This window comes from Homo sapiens, chromosome 20 (assembly GCF_000001405.40).
Source record: "Homo sapiens chromosome 20, GRCh38.p14 Primary Assembly".
NCBI classification, from domain to species: domain Eukaryota; kingdom Metazoa; phylum Chordata; class Mammalia; order Primates; family Hominidae; genus Homo; species Homo sapiens.
Genome location: NC_000020.11, coordinates 5,936,576 through 5,963,048, shown reverse-complemented (window position 1 = coordinate 5,963,048; position 26,473 = coordinate 5,936,576). Strand labels below are relative to the sequence as shown.

Sequence of the window (26,473 nt, the reverse complement as noted above, 5' to 3'; positions counted from 1 at the left end):
CGTATCCTGCTATGGGTATGCAAGGTGCTTTGCTTGCCTCCCACATGAAGCACTTATTGCTTCCTCTGTGCCCATGCCACCTCTCGCTCCTTCAACAACCCTCTCATTCTGTCCCACATGCCCAATGCCAATCCTCTCCTTTTCAAAAGGCTTTCCAGAGTTTTCTTTAATCCCCAGCTTTCTCATCTAGGCTCCTTTTGCACTTTCTGTAGAGTGTAATACTTATTATGCCACACAGGCACTTGTTTGGTGTTTGGATCTCAAGAAGCATTTATAAATTCAGACTGTGGCAGACTGTATTTGCCAAATATGATTGCAACAATATTTATCTTCAAGACTTTTTAGAACCTTGCTACTCCTCCATTAAGAAATGAAGGCCGGGCGCGGTGGCTCACGCCTGTAATCCCAGCACTTTGGGAGGCCGAGGCGGGTGGATCATGAGGTCGGGAGATCGAGACCATCCTGGCTAACAAGGTGAAACCCCGTCTCTACTAAAAATACAAAAAATTAGCCGGGCGCGGTGGCGGGCGCCTGTAGTCCCAGCTACTCGGGAGGCTGAGGCAGGAGAATGGCGTGAACCCGGGAAGCGGAGCTTGCAGTGAGCCGAGATTGCGCCACTGCAGTCCGCAGTCCGGCCTGGGCGACAGAGCGAGACTCCGTCTCAAAAAAAAAAAAAAAAAAAAAAAAAAAAAAAAAGAAATGAAGGCTAATTCCTTCTCCTGGAATTTGAGAAGGCCTGGGACTCACTTTGTTACCAACAGAATGTGACACAGTGATGTTGCACGACTTCTGAGACTAGCTCACAAAAGGCAAGGCCATTTCTGCCTACCAACTGCACTTCTTGACCTGAACCTGTCAGCAGCCATATAAGCAGACTGAGTGCCTGAGCTGCTATACTGTGTGCAAGAAGCCCAAACTAGCCCACACAGCCACATGGAGAAGAAGATGCCTGGCCAGCCCCCAGCCACCTTGCTGTACTCCAGCCACCATCTGACTACAACTCCATGAGAGGCCTGGAGCCAGAACTAGCCAGTTGAGTAGTTCTTCCAAACTCCTGATCCACAGATATCATGAGAACTAATAAAATGATTGGCTTTATTTTCGGCCACTGAGTTTTGGAGTGATGTGTTACGCAACAATAGTGGCGGGAATAGAGATCAACTGAAACAGCCATCTTTCTGTCACTTCAAAGCCCCACAGTTCAGACAAATGGAGGACCTCTTCACGACATCACACATGAGTCAATGCTACTACCTAATTTATTAGGGGGCATGAAAATACCCTGAACAAATACTGTCTAGAAAATATCTGATTTAAGGAGGTCAAGGCTGCAGTGAGCTGTATTCATGCCCCTGCACTCCAGCCTGGGTGACAGAGTGAGACCCCGTCTTCAAAATAAAAGGAAGAAAATATCTGGTTTAAATCAGGATTTAAATTCTGGCCTCTAAGCTAAAGGTTATACCTTGAACCTTAAGCCAAGACAAACACCAGATGAAACCCATCTATCAACACCACTGATTATTCAGAACCAATAGCTGAATCTCACATACCCTCTTCTTCCAGTCAGAGAAAGAAGCCTTAGGAATTTCAAACATAAACATCTTATGTTTCCCTTTTTAATTCTTCAAGGGACTATTTACCTCACTAAGGATTCAACCCTTCACATGAGCAAAAATTTAGCAAATGTTAAATTTAGTAAAGCCCAATGGTGATAACGATGACTCTGGGTACCACCGAGGAAACATTATACATCCATGGTAACAAGGGCTTAATTAATAAATGGTGTCAGGATAAATAGCTTTTCACCTAAAAATTAGATCACTAGTTTGTTTTTTTAAGAGATGGGGGTCTCACTATGCTGCCCAGGCTAGTCTCAAACTCCAGGGCTCAAGCGATCCTCCTGCCTCAGACTACTGAGTAGTTGGGACTACAGGCATATGCCACCATGCCCAGCTTAAATCCCTAGTTTTATGCCCTTCACCAATGGCTTAAATTCCAGATGGACAAAAGATCTAAAGATAAAAAACAAAACTTAGGATTCTTAGAAGCAATGTAGGAAATATGTTTATAATGCTTGAGTGAAAAGGGCTTCTTATTTATTTATGTATTTTTTGAGGCGGAGTTTCGCTCTTACTGCCCAAGCTGGAGTGCAATGGCGTGATCTCGGCTCACTGCAACCTCTGCCTCTTGGGTTCAAGCGATTCTCCGGCCTCAGCCTCCCGAGTAGCTTGGATTACAGGCATGTGCCACCACGTCTGGCTAATTTAGAATTTTTAGTAGAGATGGGGTCTCTCCCTGTTGGTCAGGCTGGTCTTCAACTCCTGACCTCAGGTGATCTGCCCGCCTCGGCCTCCCAAAGTGCTGAGATTACAGGCATGAGCCACCAAGCCCAGCCGAAGAACGGCTTCTTAAGCAGGGCATAAAATATACAAATTAGGGAGGAAAAGACAACAATTTGATCATGTCAAAATGTAAAACTGTACAACAAAAAAACCCACAAAGTTAAAAGACAAACCAAAGACTGGGAGAAAATATCTAATGTATATAATCAACAATAATTAGTATCTAGAATGTATAAAGAACTCCTATCAATAAACTAATAGAACCAGGCACAGTGGCTGGCACCTGTAGTCCCAACTACGTGGGAAGCTGAGATGGGAAGATCACCTGAGCCCAGGAGTTCAAGGTTGTAATGAGCTATGATCATGTCACTACACTCCAGCCTGGGCAACAGAATGAGACCCCATCTCTAAAAAACAAAATTAAAGAATAAACCAATAAACAGGAAAATGAACATTAGATATAAATAGAAAATTCGATAAAGAAACTGAATGGCCAGTAAAGATATGAAAAGATGCTCAACCACAACAGAAATCAGAAAAATTCACATTATAAATGCAGTATTATTTATACCTAACAAACTGTCAAAAATGTACAAGTCTAACAATACCAAGTGTTAATGAAAAGACAGAGAAATGGTAACTACTTAACACTACCAGCAAAGATTTAAGTTGGGAACAATACTCTGGAAAGTAATTTGGTAACATCTAATACAGTTAAAAATAAGTACAGCCGGCCAATCCCAGCACTCTGGGAGGCTGAGGCAGGCGGATCACCAGGTCAGGAGTTTGAGAACAGCCTGGCCAACATAGTGAAACCTTGTCTCTACCAAAAATACAAAAATTAGCCAGGCATGGTGGCGCGTGCCTGTAGTCCCAGCTACTCGAGAGGCTGAGGCAGGAGAACTGCTTGAACCCAGGAGGCGGAGGTTGCGGTGAGCCAAGATCGCGCCACTGCACTCCAGCCCGGGCAACAGAGCGAGACTCCGTCTCAAAAAAAAAAAAAAAAAAAAAAAAAAGTACAGCCTACAACTTAGTATTCCTCTGCTAAGGAGACATGTACAAGAATGTTCTCTGCAGTATCATTTGTTCTTATAAAAAACTGGAAAGAGCACAATTGTCTACCTCCAGGAAAATGGATAAATTGTGGCTATTTATTTAAAGCAACACTCCACAATAGTAAAAATGAAAGAATTTGATATGTATTAAAATAGGTAGAACTACAAAATAACCAAATAAAAAAACAGCTGCGTGTTACATTCAGGATACCATTTACGTAAACACAATACAAAAAACTAACTCTACACATGTAGTCAAGAATAAAAATGTAAACTTGAAGAATACATGCCAATTTCAGCATAGTGGTTGCATCTAGGGAGCAAATAAAGGGAATAAAACTGAGAACAGAAAGACTTCAACTTTATATAACCATATTTTTGTTACAAATTAAGCTAAAATAATATTAATATTTGCCAAATCATAGAGTAGATAAATGTTAATTACATTATTCTCTGCACTTTTCTATAGTTTTAAAATCCAGTTTAATAAAGGCTAATAAAGATTTAAAAAACCCATCACTTCTAAATAGTAGAAGAAATAAAGGGGAAAAAAAACTTGGTGTGTATACCTAGAAGTCAACAGAAATATGAATGGAAGGGATGCATATTATAATAACTTCAGGATAATGATCATCCCTGGGAATGGTATAGGTAAAAAACAGACACTAATTGTGCCAGTAATGCTTTATATCATTAAAAAATGTGTCCGGAGCTGAAAAATGTAAATTCGGGGTGATGAGTAGTGGAATGTTTTATTTATTTCTGTATTTTTCTTACCCTGAAGTATTTCATAATATAAAAGCAGAAAATTGAAAATAAAAAATAAAAATAAGCTCTGTGTTCAGAAACACTGGGAAATGTTTTCTGTATTCTGATTTGCCTTCTTTACCAAGATAAATAAAGAAGCAGTTAAAGAACGTATTACCTTTGTGGGAAGACTGTATTTTCCATCTGGAAGAGGAAAGCTCTGAATTTCTCCACATGCAGCACAAAGAAAAGCCATCTTGGTGCAAAGAGGCTTTATATTACTGACACGAACCACTGTCCCTCTTAGAGCAATGTATTTTCCATAGTAATTTGCTCTGACATTCTTGAGCTGTGTCAAAGGCTCATAGTTGTACACCCTAAAGACAAAACAGGAAGTAATGAACAGAAAATTGATGTTTTTTATATTTTCACAAGTTCCTTTTAGGAGCAACTATGGAATTCTCAAATCAAATCATCCCTTCGATATATCAGAAATATCACAAGAATTAAACCATTCTTGTTGTGTTTTGTTTTCTTGAGATGGAGTCTCGCTCTGTTGCCAGGCTGGAGTGCAGGGGTGCCATCTTGGCTCACTGCAACCACTGCCTCCCGGGTTCAAGTGATTCTCCTGCCTCAGTCTCCCGAGTAGCTGGGACTACAGGTGTGTGCCACCACACCCAGCTAATTTTTGTATTTTTAGTAGAGACAGGGTTTCACCATGTTGGCCAGGATGGTCTCGATCGCTTGACCTCGTGATCCGCCTGCCTCGGACTCCCAGTGCTGGGATTACAGGCATGAGCCACCGTGCCCAGCCAAACCATTCTTAACAAGAAACAACACTAAATCTTCCTTTTTCTTCTTGTCTCACAGGCTGTTCTCAAGGAAAAAAGAAAAAAGAAATTTAAGGAAAAAAATAATGCCAAAAGGAAAATCTACAGATTCAAAAACCTTTGGGTTTCTAAGTTCTTTTTAAAGAACTGCTAGGAAATTTTCTTCTATAAATTCTGGAAAAGAAAAACAAAATGCTGATGATTACCTTATAATGAATTCTTCTAATGAATTTAAAATCTTAAAGATGAATTCAAGAAAAACAAAATAATTTCATTATTCCCTTGTATCTAACAAAAACCTAATAATTTAACAAAGAACACTTAGTGTATTACAGACTGAGTATATCCCTTATCCAAAATGCCTGGGACCAGAAGTATTTTGGAATTTTTGGACTTCCAAATATTTGCAATATTACTAGTTGAGTATCTCTAATTCAAAAATCTGAAGTGCTCCAATGAACATTTCCTTTCAGTGTCGTGTCAGGGCTCAAAGTTTTGAATTTTGGAGCATTTCAGATTTCAGATTTTCAGATTAGGGATACTCAACCCATACATGGATTATTAAACTTACACAGCAGGGTCTTGATAAGTTCACATCCAAAACCAATGTTTACAAAAATCTGCAGGTTAGGAAATCAACATTTTCTTCCTTATTTAGGAAGTATCTGTCATGATGTCTTTGAATAATTTTCAATGAGTTTATTTCAGTGTGATGATCAATGAGATGGCAAGGAACTCATGTCCTTTTTACTGATTTCCTCATTTTTATAAAATGAGCGTTTTCATTCTTAAATGGCCTTCAATGTCCCATTCTAAGTAATACTTTAATACATCAAATTCCTCACCTTGCATGAATATGTGGCACATTTACCATTGTTTCTCCATCATTAGACAATCCTTCCTGGGCTTGTAACTCAGCTGCATGCCTTTCAAGGTCCTTAGTTAACACCTAAACAGGACAGACATTTACTCTGAAGTTGGAAAACAAAACATCCTCTTTATACAGAACTCTATTTTTATAGAGAATATAAAGTTTATGGACAGAAACAGAATAAAAACAGAAAACTTTAACAGCCCTTTAAATATCTAATATTTAATTATGACTACTTACTTTATAGTGGATGTTTTACATTGGATTTTGCTGTCCCTGTGCTGAAAAACTCCAGCATCCCAGTCTGCTACTTTCTGTCCCAACTAAACCTAACATTAAAAGCCCTTACATTAGTCCCCAAAACCATCACCTCTTGATACTAATTAAAAAAAAAAAAATGCATTCCTATTTCTCTATATTCACTGACCAATCAAGACACAGAAAATAAAAATGACCTTTAAAATACCTAATACTCACTCCCTTGGCATTTAACATTAAATAATATAAACACGCTGGGCGCAGTGGCTCACACCTGTTATCCCAGCACTTTGGGAGGCCAAAGTGGGTGGATCCCCTGAGGTCAGGAGTTTGAGACCAGCCCGACCAACATGGTGAAACCCCATCTCTACTAAAAATACAAAAATTAGCCAAGTGTGGCAGTGCATGCCTATAATCCCAGCTACTTGGGAGGCTGAGGCTGCAATGAGGCAAGATCACACCATTGCACTCCAGCCTGGGCAACAAGAGCAAAACTCCATTTCAAAATAAATAAATAAATAAACAACAAACAAACATTTAATACCACTTGTACACAGCAGTTTGCTGGCAACCTAAGAGGCAAAATAAGATGCATATATACAGCTGTAATTGTCATAAGGACCATAAAGATGTACAGACAAAATACCATGCAAGTTTCGAAAAGTGGTCATGAGAAAGGTTTTACAGACAGACAACTGAGCTAGGCCCAAATAATCTGTCCATGTGAAGGGAAGGGGATTCTATGTTGAATGGACAGCACAGGCAAGAGGTAGAAGAATGCCCCTCTGAATGCCCCAGCACTTTGTGTATGCCTGTCCTGAGATTTGCTATTCATTACCTTGAAGCATGTATCTGTTTGCTAGCCTAAAAAATGTTTTTGGCCGGGCAAGGTGGCTCATGCCTGTAATCCTAGCACTTTAGGAAGCCAAGGCAGGCGGATCACAAGATCAAGAGATCAAGACCATCCTGGCCAACATCGTGAAACCCCGTCTCTACTAAAACTCCAAAACTTAGCTGGGCATGGTGGTGCACCCAGCCACTCGGGAGGCTGAGGCAAGAGAATCACTTGAACCCGGGAGGCAGAGGTTGCAGTGAGCGGAGATCATGACACTGCACTCCAGCCTGGCAACAAAGTGAAACTCCATCTCAAAAAAATAAATAAAAAATAAATTTAAAAAATTTAAAAAGTTAAAAATGTTTTCATATATGTTGTATTACCTGACCCTGAAAAAAAACTCAGGCAAGCACAGTACAAACTGTTATTTACATTTGATATACAGGGACACTCAGTGGTTTGCTTCATGCCACAGAACCTAAATCTAAGGTTGCTCTTTTTTGCTCTAAGTTCATAACCGATAACACCATGATTCCTTGTTTTATCTTCCCTATGAGATTGTATAACTTCTTGAAAGCAAAGTTTAATTTCTGCACAATCTTTAGCAAGATTAAGCAAATCCAAATAAGTTGGAGGTAAATATTTCATTTAGATAAGCTGTTGTATATAGAATGAATGGTATCTTTCAGAACGGAACTGCAACCTCTCAGTTCTAGCCAACATCTTTTCGTAAAAGCTAAGTATCTCTTATAGAAAGTACAGTCACTGTAAAATCTTCCTTTAAACTTAGACAAGGTGTGCATGTGTGTGCAAACATTAAAAAAGTTTAGACAAAAGTATGCATAAGACAAATAGTTACCTGATGTATTGCCAAACCCATGCAAGCCAAGGTTTTCTCAGGTGCATCTCTTAGTTCAGTTGCTATATCTGGTATCAAGTTAGTTACTTCACCACCTTCTGTCAGTTCTTTAAAATCTACCAAAATACTTCCCTTTCTTTCTATTTCATCCTATAAAATATAAAAGTATGAAAACAATAATTGCTTTTCTGTAGTCAATTACCATTAACTGAGCATTCTATTATAGACTTTGAGAAAGCATACAATGTTTATATGTGATAATGGTAAGTATGACATAAGTATAAGCTTTGTGCCAAGCATGGTTCTGATATTTTAAATATATTAATGTATTACTGCCTCTTAACAATCCTTTGAGGTAGGTATTTATACCTCTATCTCCAAATGAAAGAAAACTGAGGCACAGAGAAGTAATTAATCAAAGTCCATACTGCAGGTAAGTGGCAGAACTGAGGTCTGAACCAAGGAAGTCTGACTCCAGTGCCTACGATCATAATCACAAGTACCTCGAATACATTGGTAAGATGGCACATGACTGGTAGCTTTGCTGTAGAGGAATCTTACCTTGTCATACAAATCAATATGCCTTGTGAAAAATTTTTCAAATGCTTGAATCTTCTCAATCAAAGGAGAGCTATCGCTGTAAACTAATCCAACAAATATGGCATTAGCACAAATAATCACACAGGTACATGCACATTTTTCATGAGACAAAAGCAGCACTATATACATGGTAGATGATTTTTTTCTAATTGCTTTGTATTTTGATTACATTCATATAAGAACTAGTATAGAATGTAAACTTAAGATTCTAAAACAAATTTAGGTTTGCATAATGTGAAATGCAGACAGAAACTCTCTCTCTCTAAAAGCCCCACTATCTGGGAAACTTTGTTTTGCATCTTTGACACCTAATAGGACATGTTAGTTCAGATAATTTAGACAATAAGCTTAAACTAAAAATTATAATAAAGCCAAAGCCAGACACATAAACTAAGCTCTTACTCTGACAGAGCTGAAGACAATCACAATCACAGTCTTTCCTGAGATCAGGAGACAGACCAACACTTGACCCTGGTGGCAAAACTGAAAAGCCTTTTTTTTTTTAACACTCTAAAGTTCTACATTTTCAAATATGTCTCTCACAGAAGAACAGTACAATAAAGTAGTTTGGAAGCACAGATGGTGAAGGCTAAGGCACCTCTTGAACTCCATCTTTAGGACTGTCCAAAGATCACTTATAGTGTTCTGAGCTATCTGCTAGGGGAGCAATGGGAGTGCTGGTGGCTAATACATCCTAAAGGAACAAAAGATCATTCATGAAACAGATTCTATTGATGGAAAAAAACGAACAGATTTCCAATAAAGAAAACATTTGTAAAGTACTCTATTCATTCACAAAATGACTACTGCATGCCTGGTATGGGGCAGGGAGGGTCCTGGACCTCAAACGTCTAGTTTTCCTAAAAAAAAAAAGTATGCGGCTGGGTGCGGTGGCTCACGTCTGGAATCCTAGCACTTTGGGAGGCCGAGGCGGGCGGATAACGAGGTCAGGAGATCAAGACCATCCTAGCTAACACGGTGAAACCCCGTCTCTACTAAAAACAGAAAAAATTAGCCGGGCGTGGTGGCGGGTGCCTGTAGTCCCAGCTACTCGGGAGGCTGAGGCAGGAGAATGGCGTGAACCTGGGAGGCAGAGCTTGCAGTGAGCCAAGATCGCGCCACTGCACTTCAGCCTGGGCAACAGAGCAAGACTCCATCTCAAAAAAAAATAAAAAGTATGCACACACACACACACACACACACACACACACACCCCTCATGAGACATAAGAAACAAATGGGTATTTTAACAGCACAAAAAAGACAGTTCCCTGCACCTATACAGACTGATGTAGGTTAATTGGTATTCCTAATTATCAAAGGGAGATTCCTTACCTGTGTTTCTACACAAAGCTGTATTTGTTATTGTCCCTTGATTTCAGGCCCACTGTTCTACTTCCTGCTCTGCGATGCTATAATTCAGATCTGTACCCTACATGTCTCAGATTCTCTTTAAATTCTGCCAATTGAAGGCACTTTAGAGACGGGAAGGTGGCAGGAAGAGAAAGGAATTTATTCTTGTTTCCAACTCTTTTCAGCATCTCTGCAGCTGCAGAAGATAACGATAGTGCTAGCCTCCAGTTCCAAGCACCACTGAGTCATGCCCCCTCAGTTACCAGTGGCAACCAGCTTCATTTGCCTTAGTGGTCTAAGCACAGCTCTGTAAGGTAGCCTTCAGAAGTCCAAGCATAGCTTTGTAGGGTGCCCCTCAAAAGTCAAAATAACAGCTATGCTGTGACCTCTCCAACCTTTGAATTCCCACATTCTGGTAACCTCAGAACTTCTTTTAGTCTCTTAGCCATAAGGATGGTTGCTGCTTCCTGAATTACTACTTTCTGGGGAGTTACCTCAATATTTCCTTTCTGCTCTTTCAGTCTTCCATTTTTGTATCCAATTTCTTGTATTAAGTCCCCTTTTTGAAATACCTAGTATGGTTTCTGCTTTCCTGACTGATATAAAGTCTAAAATGCTTTTGAAACATAAACATCATTTAATTGTTTGGGTGAACTAAGATTAAAGCAGGTATATGTTAGTAAATGAATTACAGTAATACAAGATGTAGCATCCAAAGACAAGTTAAGAAAATATGATTTATGGTGCTTTTTTGTACTTTTTAAACCCTACCTTCAGAGAAATAAAGCTTCCAGCCTTTATATGGTATGAATCGATCCAATGTTGACTGCATTGACTGTGGGGTCTTTGTTGAAAGCAAAAACTGTGGGGTTTGTTCTGAAAAAAATAAAATACTAGGTTAGTAGAAACAGAGTGAACATTTTTCCAATATGCTTCTCTTTCCAAATGAGACTCTCATTAATAGAGTATCCAAATTAGGGGTTTTAGTAAAAATCTGGGACATCAATGTTCAAATACTTACTAAGGAGTAGCATGAAATAAAAGACAAACTGAAGTATGAGATAAACCGCCTTGTATGATAGACGTGAATTGCTTCCTTAAGTGAAAAAAATTGAACAATCATTGACCTCACCTACCAGAAGTACGTTTTCCTGTGGTTTTACTCAGATCAGGTCTGTGTTCTCTTTCTCTCCATTTTCCTGAGAAGTTCCCACCACCTCTTCCCCTTTTCCAGCTTTGAAATCTTCCTCGTCCAAATCCTCTGCCTCTATACTCTCCATTCATCTCTCCTAAAAGATAGATATTAAAAAGGTCTTCACCAAAACTGTAAGGAAAATAGTGCTCTTAAAAATGTATTAATAAAAAGGGAAAAATTAATGTATTCTAGGTTCAAGAGTAGCAAACAGGCTTGCAAAGTTGTACAGCTATGATACAAGACCCAAATATTCTGCAGTTAAGTTTCTAATCTCTATCGCTTTTTAAGGTATACCATAATAGTTTAATAACTATTAAATATGGTTTACGTATACTAGACGCTCACAGGTTAAAAATAAGGACAGGTACTGTACCTGTTTACAAGTCCCCATTACAGAAATGAAAATAGGACAGGTAATTAACTCTATGAAAACTTATTTGCAGTATTTGAGACTTCTTATTATAGGGCAGGACAGGATGAACATAATTCTGGCCTGTGAGACACTAGGGATACATCATCATAGCTTCTTACATACAGTCAATCCTGCAGTGTCACATCCATTTTTTGTGCAGTTTTTCTGTAAATCCAAAACTGTTCTTATAAAATACACGTCTACTTAAAAATGATTCATATCCTAAGTATACAAGTAAATAAAGATATACCTGTACGCTGCAGTGCAATTCATTATCAAATACTCTACCCAAATCCTTACTTAAAAGGGGTTTAGTTAATAAAACAAGATAGTAACTAGAAAGTTCACGATTTAACGGCATGACAGGGCTCCAATAATTAGGCATTACACATTATGAAACTGATGCTCAAAGAAATTAAGCAAACCGATCAAGATCAAAGTTGTTTGTCGACAGTACAGAGATAAAACTTTCAGCCTCCCAAGCTGAGGCGCTCCTTCAACAACGCTGCGTGCCATACCCTTCTCAAACGAGACAATATGCTGAGAACAGTAACAAATTCAAAAAAACGTTAAGAAGTAGGACTGGAGAAAGAGTAAAAAGAAACAGTTGGGTACCTGTGCTTCTTCAAATACTACTTTATTTACATCTCCTAAGGCTAAAGTTCTTACTTGCTTGGGACAGAGGTCCCAAAGCTCTCCTAGTTCACAACTGGGCCGGCTCCAGGATACGCGCAGATCTGTCCGGCCGGATTCTCCCTCCCTCCCTCCCGTAGAGAAGCACCACGGGGCTAAGAGTCTCCGGGATCTTAGCTCCTCAGGCGACTCCTGCCAAGTCCGCAGTTCTCTTCAGCCGCAGCTTTCCTGTCGTCCCCGCGCGGTGCTGAACCCCATCTGTCTCAACGGCTCGGGAAACTCAGTTTCCCCACCGCAGCTTCCAGAAGGTGTCTGTAGCGCACAGCGCCGCAAAAATGCCTCAAGCGAAAATCAGGTCTTCCCCTAAATTCTTTTTTGGCGCTTCAGTGATCCAACTTCCGCTCAAAGAAGCGGCAAGACGAGAGGGGCGGGGCGGAGTGCAGCCAATCAAGGAGTTTGGCCAGACGGAAGCCGAGAGGCTTCCGGAAGCGGTCTTGAGGTCTGGGCCGGAAAGCGGAAGCGGCGTGCAACACGTGGGGGCGGTGCCGGTCGGAGGGCTCCTAGTGCGCCAGGTTGTGGGAAGTGAGGCTGGCGGTGGCGACAACCGAGGAGGAGGGGCGGGACGCCGTGGAGCACGGCGACCGGCTGAGCGTCATGGAGGGCTCAGGGGAGCAGCCGGGCCCACAACCACAGCATCCCGGAGACCACCGCATCCGCGACGGCGACTTCGTGGTGCTGAAACGTGAAGATGTGTTTAAAGCAGTACAAGTCCAGCGGAGAAAGTAAGTCAGATCGCTGATTTTAGGGGTCTCCCGCCCCCACCTTGTAGATACCCCCTCCCTCCAGGTTTCTCCACAGAATTCTTCCGCCAGGGTGCCATTCTTGGCTCTCTCGGTCCCCATTCCCCGCCCTCGTTGTCTCCTCGGGTCTTTCTGTCACAGAAGGCTTTTCCACCAGGATCCCGTCTTCGAACCTCATAATCTCCCTTAACCCTCCTGTTTTTCCCGGAGCCCCCTCCATGATTTCATATCTGGCCGTCCACCTTCAGCATCCTTTTCAGTCTTTCCACAGAGTTCCTTCCCCAGAATTCCATTCTTGGCCCTAGGGTGCCAATGCCTCCCTCTCCACACCCTAATCACCTGTCCTGAAGTTCTTTCCCTAGGACCTTGGGATCTTCACTGTCTTTCCAGAGACACCCCCTCCTTTCTTCACTTTAGGATCTCATCCTTGTCTCCAGAGTCTCCTTCAGGTTCCCCCTTTTTTTCCACCATAGATCCTCCTTCTTCCCTAATCCCCCAGTCAGGATCTATCCCACAAAAAATGAAACGTCTCCTACCTAGTCTGGCTTTCTATCCTCTTCTCTACCCAAGCAGGATACACAGAATAGATGAAGGAGACAATTCACCACAGAGTGTGGAATCACTTTGAGTTTCCCTCGTTTTACTCACCAAAGGATTCAACGCTGGGAAAATTGCTAAAAAGCAATTTGCTCAAGGCCTCAGAACTCCAAATTAGGTTTGGTTTGTGCACCTGCTGGCTAGTATCGCTCTGTTTTATAGAAGTAAAGAAGTGGGATTTTGATAACTTTCTGGAAGGGCTGGTGAGGTTGTTAAGTCCTAAGAGCTTATTAATGGTGAAAATTTATTGGGATATTTGGATTAATTTATCTGAGAAATACAACCACAGTGTTTTTGTTTTTGAGACGGAGTCTTGCTTTGTCACCCAGGCTTTAGGGCAGTAGTGCAATCTCGGCTCATTGCAGCCTCTGCCTCCGAGGTTCAAGCGATTCTCCTGCCTCAGCCTCCCTAGTGGCTGGGACTCTGGCACCATCACACTCGGCTAATCTTTTTTTTTTTTTTTTGTATTTTTAGTAGAGACGGGGTTTCACCATGTTGGCCAGGCTGATCTCGAACTCCTGACCTCAGGTGATCCACCCGCCTCGGCCTCCCAAAGTGCTGGGATTACAGGTGTGAGCCACCGCACCTGGCCACAGTTTCTTTTGAGCTAGGTTATTGTATTACTTTTGACAGAGATAAGTTGAATGCAATGTCAGGAGAACAGCTTTCTGCAGACTGGGAAGTATGAGATTTGGAATTTCTGATAAGTACTTACTTCAGATGAATTCTTTTACTCCTGGTTTAAGCAAACTGTTGACTGGTATTTAAGGTGAAGCAAGCATCATAAAATAGTCAAGAAACAAGTCTCCAGAGCACTAAGCTGGTGATAACCAAGCTTTTTGCACAAGCACTAATTTAGTAAAGATAAAAAGTTTCTTTTATGAGGGGTATGTTTCTTTTAGTCCGGAAATGTAATACCTGCACCAACCTTTAACCATTTTTAAATTCTTCTTTTTTTTCTTTTTTAAACTAATTAATTTTTTTTGCAGAGACAGAGTTTCACTATGTTGTCTAGGCTAGTCTCCAATTCCTGGGCTCAAGTAATTCCGGCCACCTCAGCCTCCCAAAGTGCTGGGATTACAGGCATGAACAGTAGTTGACCTTCCCCTTTTGTGGTGCCAAAAGGGTTGGAGACCACTGCCCTAAACATTTATTTGGAAATACTTTTCAACAGGCCCTCTTCTTCGCAGAAGTCATAGTGGCAGTTTCCATTTTATTTAGGAAATGACTCTCTCAGCTCAGCTGCATCCCAGGTCAGACTCCCTCATCACCCTTGGGGCTACACTCATCTGATTGGGCAAAAAACAGTCCAGGCTCTCTGAGAAGTAGACTCTGCAAATCCTACTCCTTCCCAGTAAAGATGTGGCCTCCTTATCCCTCTAACGGGGCCCCACATTCCCGACTGGGGCAGTGACCTGTCAAACCAGCCAGTTTTAAGTGACACGCATCATCCCCTCTGCATATCACATAGGCTCTCAGAGAGGTAAACCCACCCATCTCAGATCCAGTGTTTTTGTTTGGTTTGTCTGTTTGTTTGTTTTGTGAGACGGGATCTCACTCGGTCCCCCAGGCTAGAGTGTAGTGGCGTGAACTTGGCTCACTGCAACCACTGCCTCTTGGGCTCAAGCAATCTTCCACCTCAGCCTCCTCAGTAACTAATTTGTGTACTTTTTGTAGAGAAACTCCTGAATTCAAGTGACCCTCCTGCTTCAGCCTCCCAAGTAGCTGGGACTACAGGTGTGTGCCACTACACCTGGCTAATTTTTTTATTTTTTGTAGAGACGGAGTTTTTCCCCGTCAGCCAGGCTGGTCTCAAACTCCTGGACTCAAGTGACCCACCTGGCCTCCCACAGTTCTGGGATTACAAGTGTGACCCACCACACCTGGCCAGATCCAGTGTTTCAAAGCACCTAGGTGATTAAAGGATGAGGATAGGGGGTGCACATCTGGGCTGAGCTGAATTGCAACATCTGAGGAGGTTTACATTAGCAAATATTTTGAGTGTCTGTTACATTCTGTTGTATGTAAGTATCTAGGGACCCAGCAAATAACAAGAATTGGCCATATCTGAATCACTTACGATCATACAGGATTTCCCTCAGATGGTTTGAGTAAGCTTTAATGAAGATGTGACTCAAAAGTGTGGCCGATTTAGGGAACCAATAAAGGTGACACACCCAGAGACCAGCAATGGTGGTAAGCCTCTGACACGGGAGCGTGGGTGATGTGGCAGTATATTCTGTCGTAATCAGCTTCCTGGTGGCACAGAGAAAGGAAGAGAAGGAGTGGGATGGGGCACAATCAGAATTAACCACCACATGATTCCCAGAATTCAGTGTTCTGTGCACATGGGCCATGTCCTGAAGCTAGGTGGGCTTTCTACCGTCCTTAGGTCTTTGCTGGAGTAGACCGTGTGGTATAGTGGAAAGAATGAGGCTTGGGGTCAGACACAGATTTGAATTTGAATCCCAGCTCCAACAACACCTTGCAACTGTGAATCTTGGACAAGATACTTCTCCCTGGGCCTCGGATTGCTCTTCTGGAAAGAGCTATGTCCCAGGATTACCGTGAGAATTAAATCAAAAAGTGTGAATCACACCTCGCACACACTGCCTAGCCCCTGGTTGGCACTCAGCAGATGTTAGTTTTCTTTTGAGAAGAAAGCATTGTGTTCCTGTGGGATTTCTCTTTTAAATTGCAATAAGATAAAAAATCTATGTCATAGGAAACCTCAAGTTGCCTGGTCCTCAGTAGAGCATTGTCAGTGTTAGGCTCCATTTCCAAGTGTGTAGATTGTCAGTGTTTATTTGCAAGTATAATTTGCTTTTATTAGATAATTTTCAAATAAAATGGCCGATCAGACCAAGCCCAAGAAATTTGTTAAATCCTTGTTACTTCGATGAGTCTTTGCTTCCCCTTTCCAAAATTCAGTGTTCTTGTGGCTTATTCATTAATTTTACGTCTCTATCCCAACCAGGTTCTCTCTAGTTCCTTTGTTGCTTTATGTTCAGAGATAATGCTGCTGATCATCCATTGTGGAGACCACTTTTGAAATAAACTGTAGTGAACATGTCTTTTCTGTACTGGATAGAAAAGATATTCAGTTAATTGATTACTTTTTTTCCCTAGAAAAGTAACTTTCGAAAAACAGTGGTTCTACCTGGATAACGTCATTGGCCATAGTTATGGAACTGCATTTGAAGTGACCAGTGGAGGAAGTCTACAGCCCAAGAAGAAGAGGGAAGAGCCTACTGCAGGTGCACATTTTGGATGCGTGAAATAGATGCTCTCCAACTGACTAGTCAGAAACATCTCAGCCTCCACCTAATTCCCAAGTGCTAGGCCATGCTATCCCAAAAGAAATCTTAACTCATAATCTAAGAACTGCAGCTCAGTGGAGTGAAGCAAGTACTGCCTTTGGCCATGAGATAACCTGGATTCTGGCTCCAGCCCACCATTAAATGGTTCTCTGTTCTTGGGCCAGGCATTTAATCCTATGAGTCGTTGCTGCGTCATTGCAAGAACATAATGTAAAGTTCTTTCAGTGCCCAGAAGTTATGTAACAGCTGTGAGGTGGTTAGCATATGGTGTAGAGGTTAAGAGGTCTGGTTTTGGATCCAGCTAAGTTCAATTTCTACCTTCATCACTTGCCTTGTACCGTTGGGCAACTTATTTGATTTCTGTGAGTCTTATATCCTTATATATGTAAAATAGGGTCATAAACACATTTAATGCCTAGGTTGTATTGAGTGTTCTATGATATGACTCATAGGAAGTTCTGAATAGTGTCTTGCTTTTAGTAAGGGCCCATAATTTTAGCTATTACTATTATTATTTCTTAACAACCTCTTGTCCAAAAGCTGTTATTGTTAATTAAAATTATATTTATTAAAATGAACATTGAGAGTATCTTATTAATTAAAACACAAGTAATTATTTGAAGTTAAATACTGTTAAAGTTTTGAGTCAAACCTGTTATTTAGATACATTTAAATTAATATCCATATTTTTACTAAGCACCAAATATATGCCAGGTATAATTTGGCGCTGCAATTATAGCAGTTCATAAGATAGACTGTCGTATAAAATGTGCTTACCAGTTGGAACACCAAAAATAATCAAGTAGACAAGCAAACAGCATGATTTCTGATGGTGAAGTGACACATGCTATGAAGATAATAAAGCAGGGGCGTGTACTAATTTGGTAAAGCAAGAGAATGAGCTCAGCCTCAAGTGATAGAAAGGATCCAGCCACTCAGACATCTGTCGTAGAACCTTCCAGGCAGAGGAAGCAGCAGGTGCCAAAAGCCTGCTGTGGGACCTTGCTGGGTGTGTTCAAGGAACAGAAAGAAGGCCATTGTGGCTGAAGCTAAAGTGTCAAGAGATCAGGCCAGGAATGATAGGCAGGGGCCAGATCATTTATGACCTTGCAGGTCATCTTTGGAGTGTATTCTTATTGCTATGGGAAGCCACTGTATGGTTTTAAGCATGGGGTAGATGAGTCAAATTGCATTTAAACAAAGAGCACTCTGGCATCCAGGTGGATAGTAGGGGGGCAAGACTGGGAGCAGGAAGATGACTTAGAGGCTTGGAGTAGTTTTGGCAGGAAAGGATAGTGTGATGGGGGCAGTGCAGCTGGGAGGCCAGACTTGAGTGGCTGATGGACTGGATGTGGATATGAACTCAGAAAAAGAAAGTGTCAAATAATTTCAGACCATAAATGTCAATAGAGCAATTTCTTTCCTTAGAGACTAAAGAAGCGGGCACTGATAATCGAAATATAGTTGATGATGGGAAATCTCAGAAACTTACTCAAGATGACATAAAAGCTTTGAAGGACAAGGGCATTAAAGGAGAGGTAATATTCAAAGGATTTTTAGTTTTGTTTTTGTCTGTTTGGCATTTAGGAAACTGTTGGGTTTTTAAAGCAGACTGTACCTAAGGTAAAACAAAAAAATAACGTTATAGCTTTGATAGAAATAGGTTGAAATGTACATGTTACTCAACATTTCAAAGATTTTATGTCTTATATACAGGAATATAAGTGAATGACATTACTAATGTCAGTGGTAGAGAATGTAATAACAGTGCATATCAGGATTTAACTTTGTTCATTTTCAGTAATGTTTTCAGCCAGTGTCTTCAGAAATTAGTTTCCTTTACCTCTCTTCTCCTTTTGTTGGATATCTCTGTTCTTTTACGTTGGTTTAAGTGGAGTTATAAAGTACTTGTATTTTATTATAAATTCCAAATAGAGTATAGAAATATAAAGTTCATCTATTTGGACTTCTGTGGAAAAGGGATTGGAGAATCAGACCATTGGATCCATTCTTGGGTAAGAAGCCTTTGGAAATTACTTGTTTTGTGAAAGTAAAGTTTCAGAAAATCTACTTGCTCCTTTTCTTATAGGAAATAGTTCAGCAGTTAATTGAAAATAGTACAACATTCCGAGACAAGACAGAATTTGCCCAAGATAAATATATTAAAAAGAAGAAAAAAAAGTAAGTAGTTTTTATTTTAAAAGGCCCACAATATTAAACTTCTTATATGTTTATAAAATATACATTTTATTACAAATAAAATATTTTAAGTCATTTTTTTAAATCAGCGTTCTGTTTTTTCTTCCCCCAGATATGAAGCCATCATTACTGTTGTGAAGCCATCCACCCGTATTCTTTCAATTATGTATTATGCAAGAGAACCTGGAAAAATTAAGTACGCTTTGTTTCCTTTCAAAAGTATAATTGGGGGAAATATGTCTTTAAGAAAGTCATGATTTTAAGTAAAATGAAAAAGCTTGCTCACCTGCATAAAGTATCCTCCTACCTCATAAATTGTAAGTCCTTTTACTGTCACCTCCAAAGCAATCAATAATCTTATCAACACAATTTTAATAAAGCAAACAAAACTTGAAAAATGATGATTAAAATAATAGGCTTTACTTAGCTAAAAATGAACAAATTATTGTTTTTACTTTAGCCACATGAGATACGATACACTAGCCCAGATGTTGACGTTGGGAAATATCCGTGCTGGCAACAAAATGATTGTGATGGAAACGTGTGCAGGCTTGGTGCTGGGTGCAATGATGGAACGAATGGGAGGTAAGATTTAATATTTCCATTTTCAACAAAACCCCACCCTGATGTGAGTAAAGGTGGTCCAAAAATGTAAACTCATGGAAAGCCAAATTGAATTACTTCAGGGTTAACAAAGTGACTTGGGTGAACCTGCACGGCTCCTAGCATGGGGACCTTCTTACACAGTCTCCATCACCCAGCCCCCCACCCATGGGTACCCCCAAACCCATGGCAATTGTCCTTTCTAGCTTCACTGTCAGTGGGCATGATGCTGGAGCCTGTGGCTGGCTAGGGCTTTCGGGACAGTGATTTTAGTAAACTCCTGGGTAGCTGGTGCTCATTTCATTGGGCCTAAATTGAAGGGATTGAGTGGGAAGATTACTAAGCATGTATTCTCTCTGGAAGAATACAACACAGCCTGATTTGTCTGGTTTTTTTCTGACCCCATAGAAGGTAAGAACTTGTAACTGCTCCATTTGAGGATCGGAGTGAGGGGAAGCAGAGTCCGTCACCAATCATGTGACATCCAAATTTGCAGACACAGGGTTTTACAATAGTATCAAGTGGGGATAAGCTTCTTTGAGTCTTCCTGCTATCTGCTTTAGAATTATATTACCTCCATTGGTAATACTCATAGACTCCAAACAGACTCCCTGAGGAGCTGCACCATCCTTCAGCCTCTGAATAAAGTACTAATAGAAAGACCTTCAGTCTCATTACTGTGGAGGACTCACTGAGGGTTTACGTAGTCTAGAGTCACTCCACGGGCAGATGTTTGTTTCTTTTATCTGTTCAGGTTTTGGCTCCATTATTCAGCTATACCCTGGAGGAGGACCTGTTCGGGCAGCAACAGCATGTTTTGGATTTCCCAAATCTTTTCTCAGTGGTCTTTATGAATTCCCTCTCAACAAAGTGGACAGTCTTCTACATGGAACATTTTCTGCCAAGATGTTATCTTCAGAGCCAAAAGACAGTGCTTTGGTTGAAGAAAGTAATGGCACACTGGAGGAAAAACAGGCTTCTGAACAAGAGAATGAAGACAGCATGGCAGAGGCCCCAGAGAGCAACCACCCAGAAGACCAGGAAACAATGGAAACAATTTCTCAAGATCCAGAACATAAGGGGCCTAAAGAGAGAGGAAGCAAAAAAGATTATGTAAGGATGCCAAGAGTCCCCACCACCCCCATAATCTCAGTCCCTCAGTTAACTTCAGTTAAGTCATGAGATTTAGTTTGGCTTTGGTGTATTAGCTCCCAAGATGATAACTATCAAAACAGAGAACGAGTGTGTGTACATGTATACAAACGTGTGATTCGGTCTTCGGGATGGAGCTTTAGGATACAGAAGCGTTGCATAGATAGCTTAATCATGGTTTTTATAGTATATAGGCTTTCTTGTGTATTTGCAACTTCCTTATAAACAACCTGCTTCTATTGGTTTAGTCCAAGTTGATAAATATTGTTGAAATGTTTTGACAGGCCAGAGCATTTCCATAAATTTGACTGAAAGACCCCAGTACATTGATTTCTTATTTTTCTTTTTGAAGATTCAGGAAAAACAGAGGAGACAAGAAGAGCAGAGGAAAAGACATTTAGAGGCTGCCGCTCTGCTGAGTGAAAGAAACGCAGATGGGTGCGTTGATGGAAGAAGGCAGGAGACTCCTCAGTGCATGTGGGCTCTGCTTCAGACAGATTGGCATTCTCTTTCTCCTTGTCTGCTTTGACTCTAGTGGGACCCGAGATGAGGATTTTGTCTTGGGGGTTTTTTTAAAGAAAGGAGGCTGAGGCTGGCAGGGGTGGGGAATTGATGATGCTGGTTTCAGGGTTTCAGAAGAAATTGAATCTTCTCCATCACTGCATCAAGATGGGCCCTGTGGTCCCACTGGATGCAGGGGATGGGGCACTCAAATGCTGCGATACAGGCTATAACAGATATCCACAAAGCAGCTTATGCAGTGTTGGATTTGTTTCCAGGTGATTTTTTTTAAAAAATCAAGAATGTCATTAAATGCGACTTAGAGTTGCCAAGTACCACAAGAGCTTCTAACCTAGTTCGCGTTTCCTAGAAAGAAATAGCTCATGATTGTATTCTGTTTTGGATTTCTAGAATGTTATATTTAAATCTCTTCTCTTTGTGAGTCATGCAAATTAAATACATGATCATTTTAAATGCATTTTAAAACCTGTGCTCCACTTTGAGGGTGTAGAGAAATAATTTGTCTGGCATTTTCCTTACAGTTTAATTGTAGCTAGTCGTTTCCACCCCACTCCCCTGCTGCTGTCTTTGCTGGACTTTGTGGCCCCTTCAAGGCCGTTTGTGGTCTACTGTCAGTACAAAGAGGTAATACTGGAATGGAATGGGCAGGAATTCTTATGTCTGAATGTTGATTCTTAAACTGCATCCCAGGAAGTAGTTCTTAACAGAATTCTGTTGTTGTCTGCAGCCTCTGTTGGAATGCTACACAAAACTGCGGGAGAGGGGAGGGGTCATCAACCTCAGGCTGTCTGAAACCTGGCTCAGAAATTATCAGGTACGTGTTCTTACAGCCAGTCCCAAGAGCTGCCCTCCCGAGACTTGACTTTCCTTGCAGTAGTACTAGAAGTCATTAAATAGAGTTATCTCAGCCAGGCACAGTGGCTTATGCCTGTAATCCCAGCACTTTGGGAGGCCAAGGCAGGCAGATCGCTTGAGCCCAGGAGTTCAAGACCAGCTTGGGCAACATGGTGAAACCCTGTCTCTACAAAAAAAAATACATAAATTGGCTGGGCATGACCCTGTATCTACAAAAAATATAAAAATCAGTCGAGCATGGTGGCAGGTGCCTGTAGTCCCAGCTACTCAGGAGCTGAGGTGGAAAGATTGCTTGAACCCTGGAGGTCGAGGCTGCAGTGAGCCGAGATCCCACCACTGCACTCCAGCCTGGGTGACAGAGTAAGACCCTCTCTCAAAAACAAAACAAAATAAAAATAGAGATGTCTCTGTTTCTTTCTACAGGGATGGAGATTTCTCATGGCTGTTACTCAGAGAATATGCCCCTGACTTTTTGTGACCCTTTTTTTCTCTTGTTATGTCAGAATATATTACTCTGTAACTCTGCCCTAAAGGCATTTAAAATGCAAACCATTATGGTTCTTATTTCCCCAAGGCCTCAGTATCACTGTGGATGATGTAATTGACAATAGCAAAATTCCCAGGTGGATGAGAAACTGGCCCTTTCCTCTCTGCCAGGATGTTTTTGCAGCAAGTTTTCAGGATTTACTGGTGGGCTCTGTGTCAGTTCAGGTCTTCTGGAAGACATATGCTAAGATGGAAGTTGAAGTGTAAGAGATTTATTGAGGGAAATGCCTTAGAAAGATAAGGGGAGAGGGAGCAAGATTGGTGGTGCAGGTTGATGCCTGGGCAAGGAGCGGGTAGAGAAAGGAGGATGGTAGGAAGAGCCTGCAGTGCTGCTCTGGAGAAAGTCTCCATGAGGCTGATGGCGAGCCCAAGTGGAAAGATCGCCATTCAAGGAGCCCTGTGTTAAGCAGAAATGCTCCAGCTCTGGTACCCATGCTCAGTTACTGACTGGAAGCAACCCATGGCCTCCCTCGGTATGAATGCTGCAGTGGATCCCAAAGGAGCGGCAGCTGGAGGTGTTCTACTGCCTGAATGCCTCTCAGCTGTTCCCTCATGAAGGGAGATCTGAGGGGAGCACCTCCATGCTGCCGTAGGCCCCGTCTCATTGCTTGGTGTCTTACCATACTGTAGTGGGGATGCTATTGAGCCTTGGGTAACCCTGCCCTTTGTGGAGGTTGTCTGTCTTGGCTAAGGTTACAGGAGAAAGAGGAGAGAAGTTGCCTTGGCAGAGTTAACAGGGTAGCGGGGAAGGGAGGTTTGGAGTGTAGTACATTCAGTAGCAACTTCTCCATAGACCCAAGCTCCATTATTGGCCATGAAGCTTCCTGAAGCCAGGAGAAAGAAAGCTATATGCACAGTTCTAGAGTACTGCCAAGACCATTACCCATTCTCCGCCAGAAACATGCTTCAGTTTCTAGATAAACCTGGGCTGAACTGAAAACTGCTTCAGTTCTTTTTCTTCTCTTTTTTTTTTTTTTTTCATTTTTGAGACAGAGTCTCGCTCTGTCGCCCAGGTGGGGTGCAGTGGCGCGATCTTGGCTCACTGCAACCTCTGCCTCCCGGGTTCAAGCAATTCTCCTGCCTCAGCCTCCCGAGTAGCTGGCATTACAGCTGTGTGCCACCACGCCTGGCTAATTTTTGTATTTTTAGTAGAGATGGGGTTTCACCATGTTAGCCAGGCTGATCTCAAACTCCTGACCTTGTGATCCACCTGCCTCAGCATCCCAAAGTGCTGGGATTACAGGCGTGAGCCACCATTCCCGGCCAGTTTTATTTTTCAAAAGAAAATCAATTAAACCAATTTCTACACTTTTCTTTGCATTGTAATGTGAAGAAATTAGTCCTTAGAAGTTGGTCCATTTAAAGCCTGGTGCCGTGGCTCGTATCTGTAATCCCAGCACTTTGGAAAGCCAAAGTGGGAGGTTCACTTGAGGCCAGGAGTTCGAGGTTACAGTGAGCCAAAATCTCACTACTGCACTCCAGCCTGAGGAACAGTGAGACCCTGCCTCTTAAAAAGAAAGAGAGAGAGAGAAAGGAAGGAAGGGAGGGAGGAAGGAAGGGAAGGAAGGAAGGAAGGGAGAGAGGGAGGGAGGGAGGGAAAAGAAAAGAAAGAAAAAAAAATGTCCATTTAAATCATCAAGAGAACCTGTGTTGTTTAAATTCTGATTTTTGGTATATGTGTTGTTAGCATGGACTTTATTGTCTTAGGAAAGCATGAATGTCTTTTCTGTCTTGATTAGGTTTTGCCAGATCGAAGTCATCCTAAACTGCTGATGAGTGGAGGTGGGGGTTATCTTCTCTCCGGCTTCACCGTTGCCATGGACAACCTTAAAGCAGACACCAGCCTCAAATCTAATGCAAGCACTTTAGAATCACACGAGACTGAGGAGCCTGCAGCTAAAAAACGAAAATGCCCAGAGTCTGACTCTTAACCCTTTTGAGAATTGCTCTGAATTTTGTTCTCAGGCATTATACAGTTAGTAATTAAACTTTAAATGCCATTACTACTTGTTTTTTCATATCCCAAGAATAAGAACATGTCTATGTACCCGTTTCTAGGAAGGAGGAGTATATGCCTTTTGTCTATTTCTGACACAGATGCATTTGGTCTGTCAAAACTGCAACCATGGGGTATGTAGTATGACCAACTGCATTTAACAAAACTCCTCTAAGTACTTCTAAATATTCTGTGCAAATATCTTGAGAACTTCAACATCCTAAAAATGTGTTTCTACAAGACTTTATATTTTAAGCTAAGTGGAATAATACAACGTAACTAAAACATGGCGGGTACCGAAAGGAGGGCAATTCATGGAAGAAATTTCCTCTGTTCATTCCGTTCTCTTCAACCTAAGCAATATGGATGTGTGAGTGTGTGATTTATTATGGTACCAAAAATGTCCACCTTCTTTCCTGCAGCGGAATAAGCTTTTTTGAAATGCTGAGGTTTTATTTTAATAGTTGACAACCTGGGAAAGTTCTGAGTATTTATTTTACTGCTCTTTTTTGTGCATAGAAAGGTTTAGTAGGGTACTTTTTTGCATTAATTTGCCAATACTCTTATTCTTTGTTCTAAATAAAGTGACTAGAATTTTTGTGTACTATTCAATTAAAGGAAACAAATGTCTTTTCCCCCTCTATGGTCTTATGGATACACATTTGCACACACACACATATGTATATAGATGTTGGTATATATACACACATATATTTATATATACACAGATATATACATACACATGCAAGTGGAGACATAGATTGTACCACCTGTATGAATATGTATGTACACATGGGGACAGAAAGAGTGTGCAGTCTATTTGAACTGTATCAAAGTCTTGTGCAGGACTTAGACCAATTCTCATTGTATTAGTGTCATTCCTTGTCAAATGTCCCTAAAGTGCCTTTCTTGATTATTAATGCTGAAGAACTCTGTCATGATTAGATGGTTACCCTTTCTAAGCTCTGAAAAACTCTAATCATTTGATCATGTGCTGTAGCAAAGAAAGTGTTTAGAATCAGCCAAGGCTCTTGTTCATTTGAGAGATTGAGTCTTGCTCACTGGAACATGGTCATCGTTTGCGTTGCTCCTGTCATAGAATAGGCCTGTATCATACAGCAAGGAACATCTCAGAAAAAAAATTTTTTTTCCAAATAGCATGTGCTATGCCAATGTGATTACTAAGTACAATTTTGAGTCCTTTATCCTAATTGCTATTAAAGAATAAAAATGTCGGCCGGGCACAGTGGCTCATGCCTGTAATCCCAACACTTTGGGAGGCCCAGGCAGGCGGATCACCTGAGGTCAGGGGTTCAAGATCAGCCTGACAAACATGTTGAAACCCCATCTCTACTAAAAATTAGAAAATTAGCCATGCGTGGTGGCTAACGCCTGTAATCCCAGCTACTTGGGAGGCTGAGGCAGGAGAACCGCTTGAACCCGGGAGGCAGAGGTTGCAGTGAGCCGACATCACGCCATTGCACTCCAGCCTGGGCGACGAGTGAAACTGTCTCAAAAAATAAATAAAAATGAAAATGTTTCCTACTGTGATTCTTCTAACAGTGATGCAGTCAGTGATGTCCTGTGGGCTTTCGGCCGATTGTGACGTGGTCTGTCTATTGTAGAGGACATGCCTGGATTGGCACCTCACGGAGTGTGTTGCAAGCTGGTGTCACACACACATGTAGCTAATCAAGTTTGGACAAGGAGAACAGAAAACTGCATAGATTAGAATCAGTAGTGGCTGGTCTCCTGGTTACTGGTTTGCAAGTTGCATTCCGTTCCCTAAATCTTTTCTCTTGAGTTTCTTGAGCAAGGGGTCTGGGGTCTGAGCTACCAAGGCCCTGCATGCTCATGTTACCTTGTGAACTCATCTTACCAATGCCAACAGCAT

At 41.4% G+C, this 26,473-nt stretch overlaps 2 protein-coding genes across 12 annotated transcripts in view, besides 2 other annotated features; one reads left to right on the top strand and one right to left on the bottom strand.

Moving 5' to 3' along the window:
• The window catches only part of MCM8 (minichromosome maintenance 8 homologous recombination repair factor), a 48,326-nt gene extending 35,929 nt beyond the window's left edge, over positions 1-12,397 (bottom strand). For 7 of the 10 annotated variants that reach the window (NM_001281520.2, XM_047440552.1, XM_017028105.2 and 4 more), the window contains exons 1-7: positions 11,972-12,397; positions 10,886-11,038; positions 10,521-10,625; positions 8,359-8,441; positions 7,798-7,947; positions 5,820-5,923; positions 4,323-4,521 (exon numbers count right to left, since the gene is read on the bottom strand). In NM_001281520.2, the coding sequence (NP_001268449.1) occupies positions 4,323-4,521; positions 5,820-5,923; positions 7,798-7,947; positions 8,359-8,441; positions 10,521-10,625; positions 10,886-11,033 (789 nt within the window). In that variant the 5' untranslated portion in view covers positions 11,034-11,038; positions 11,972-12,397. The remainder of the gene's footprint in view (positions 1-4,322; positions 4,522-5,819; positions 5,924-7,797; positions 7,948-8,358; positions 8,442-10,520; positions 10,626-10,885; positions 11,039-11,971) is intronic. The other 3 variants (NM_032485.6, NM_001281522.2, NM_001281521.2) reach the window with 1 other exon arrangement.
• Positions 12,381-12,520: an enhancer, noted in NCBI's record as "active region_17533". NCBI's record gives its function as "activates an Ori minimal core promoter by ATAC-STARR-seq in GM12878 lymphoblastoid cells {active_cell/tissue: GM12878}" and the evidence as "EXISTENCE:reporter gene assay evidence [ECO:0000049][PMID:35858748]".
• On the top strand, positions 12,516-25,821 carry TRMT6 (tRNA methyltransferase 6 non-catalytic subunit). Of its 2 annotated transcripts, NM_015939.5 has the most exons (11): positions 12,516-12,771; positions 16,516-16,643; positions 18,135-18,244; positions 18,796-18,887; positions 19,018-19,101; positions 19,366-19,490; positions 20,263-20,621; positions 21,013-21,098; positions 21,704-21,806; positions 21,910-21,996; positions 24,323-25,821. In NM_015939.5, exons 1-11 carry the CDS (start codon positions 12,644-12,646, stop codon positions 24,512-24,514), a joined length of 1,494 nt encoding a protein of 497 aa, NP_057023.2. In that variant the 5' UTR covers positions 12,516-12,643; the 3' UTR covers positions 24,515-25,821. The 2 variants fall into 2 exon arrangements, with proteins under 2 accessions (NP_057023.2, NP_001268396.1); NM_001281467.2 differs by lacking the exon at positions 18,135-18,244.
• Positions 22,928-23,116: a silencer, noted in NCBI's record as "fragment chr20:5920579-5920767 (GRCh37/hg19 assembly coordinates)". NCBI's record gives its function as "represses an EF-1alpha promoter that drives an FKBP-Casp9 reporter gene in an ReSE screen in K562 erythroleukemia cells {active_cell/tissue: K562}" and the evidence as "EXISTENCE:reporter gene assay evidence [ECO:0000049][PMID:32094911]".
• Positions 25,822-26,473: the final 652 nt, after the last annotated feature.

What these genes read in the sequence shown, in the direction of transcription:
- TRMT6 (NM_015939.5), top strand. Translation starts at nt 12,644, where the DNA reads ATGGAGGGCTCAGGGGAGCAGCCGGGCCCACAACCACAGCATCCCGGA. An exon ending in ATTAAAAAGAAGAAAAAAAA is followed by an intron (nt 18,888 to 19,017) that starts GTAAGTAGTTTT and finishes TTCTTCCCCCAG; the next exon opens with ATATGAAGCCATCATTACTG. An exon ending in CCTGGCTCAGAAATTATCAG is followed by an intron (nt 21,997 to 24,322) that starts GTACGTGTTCTT and finishes TGTCTTGATTAG; the next exon opens with GTTTTGCCAGATCGAAGTCA.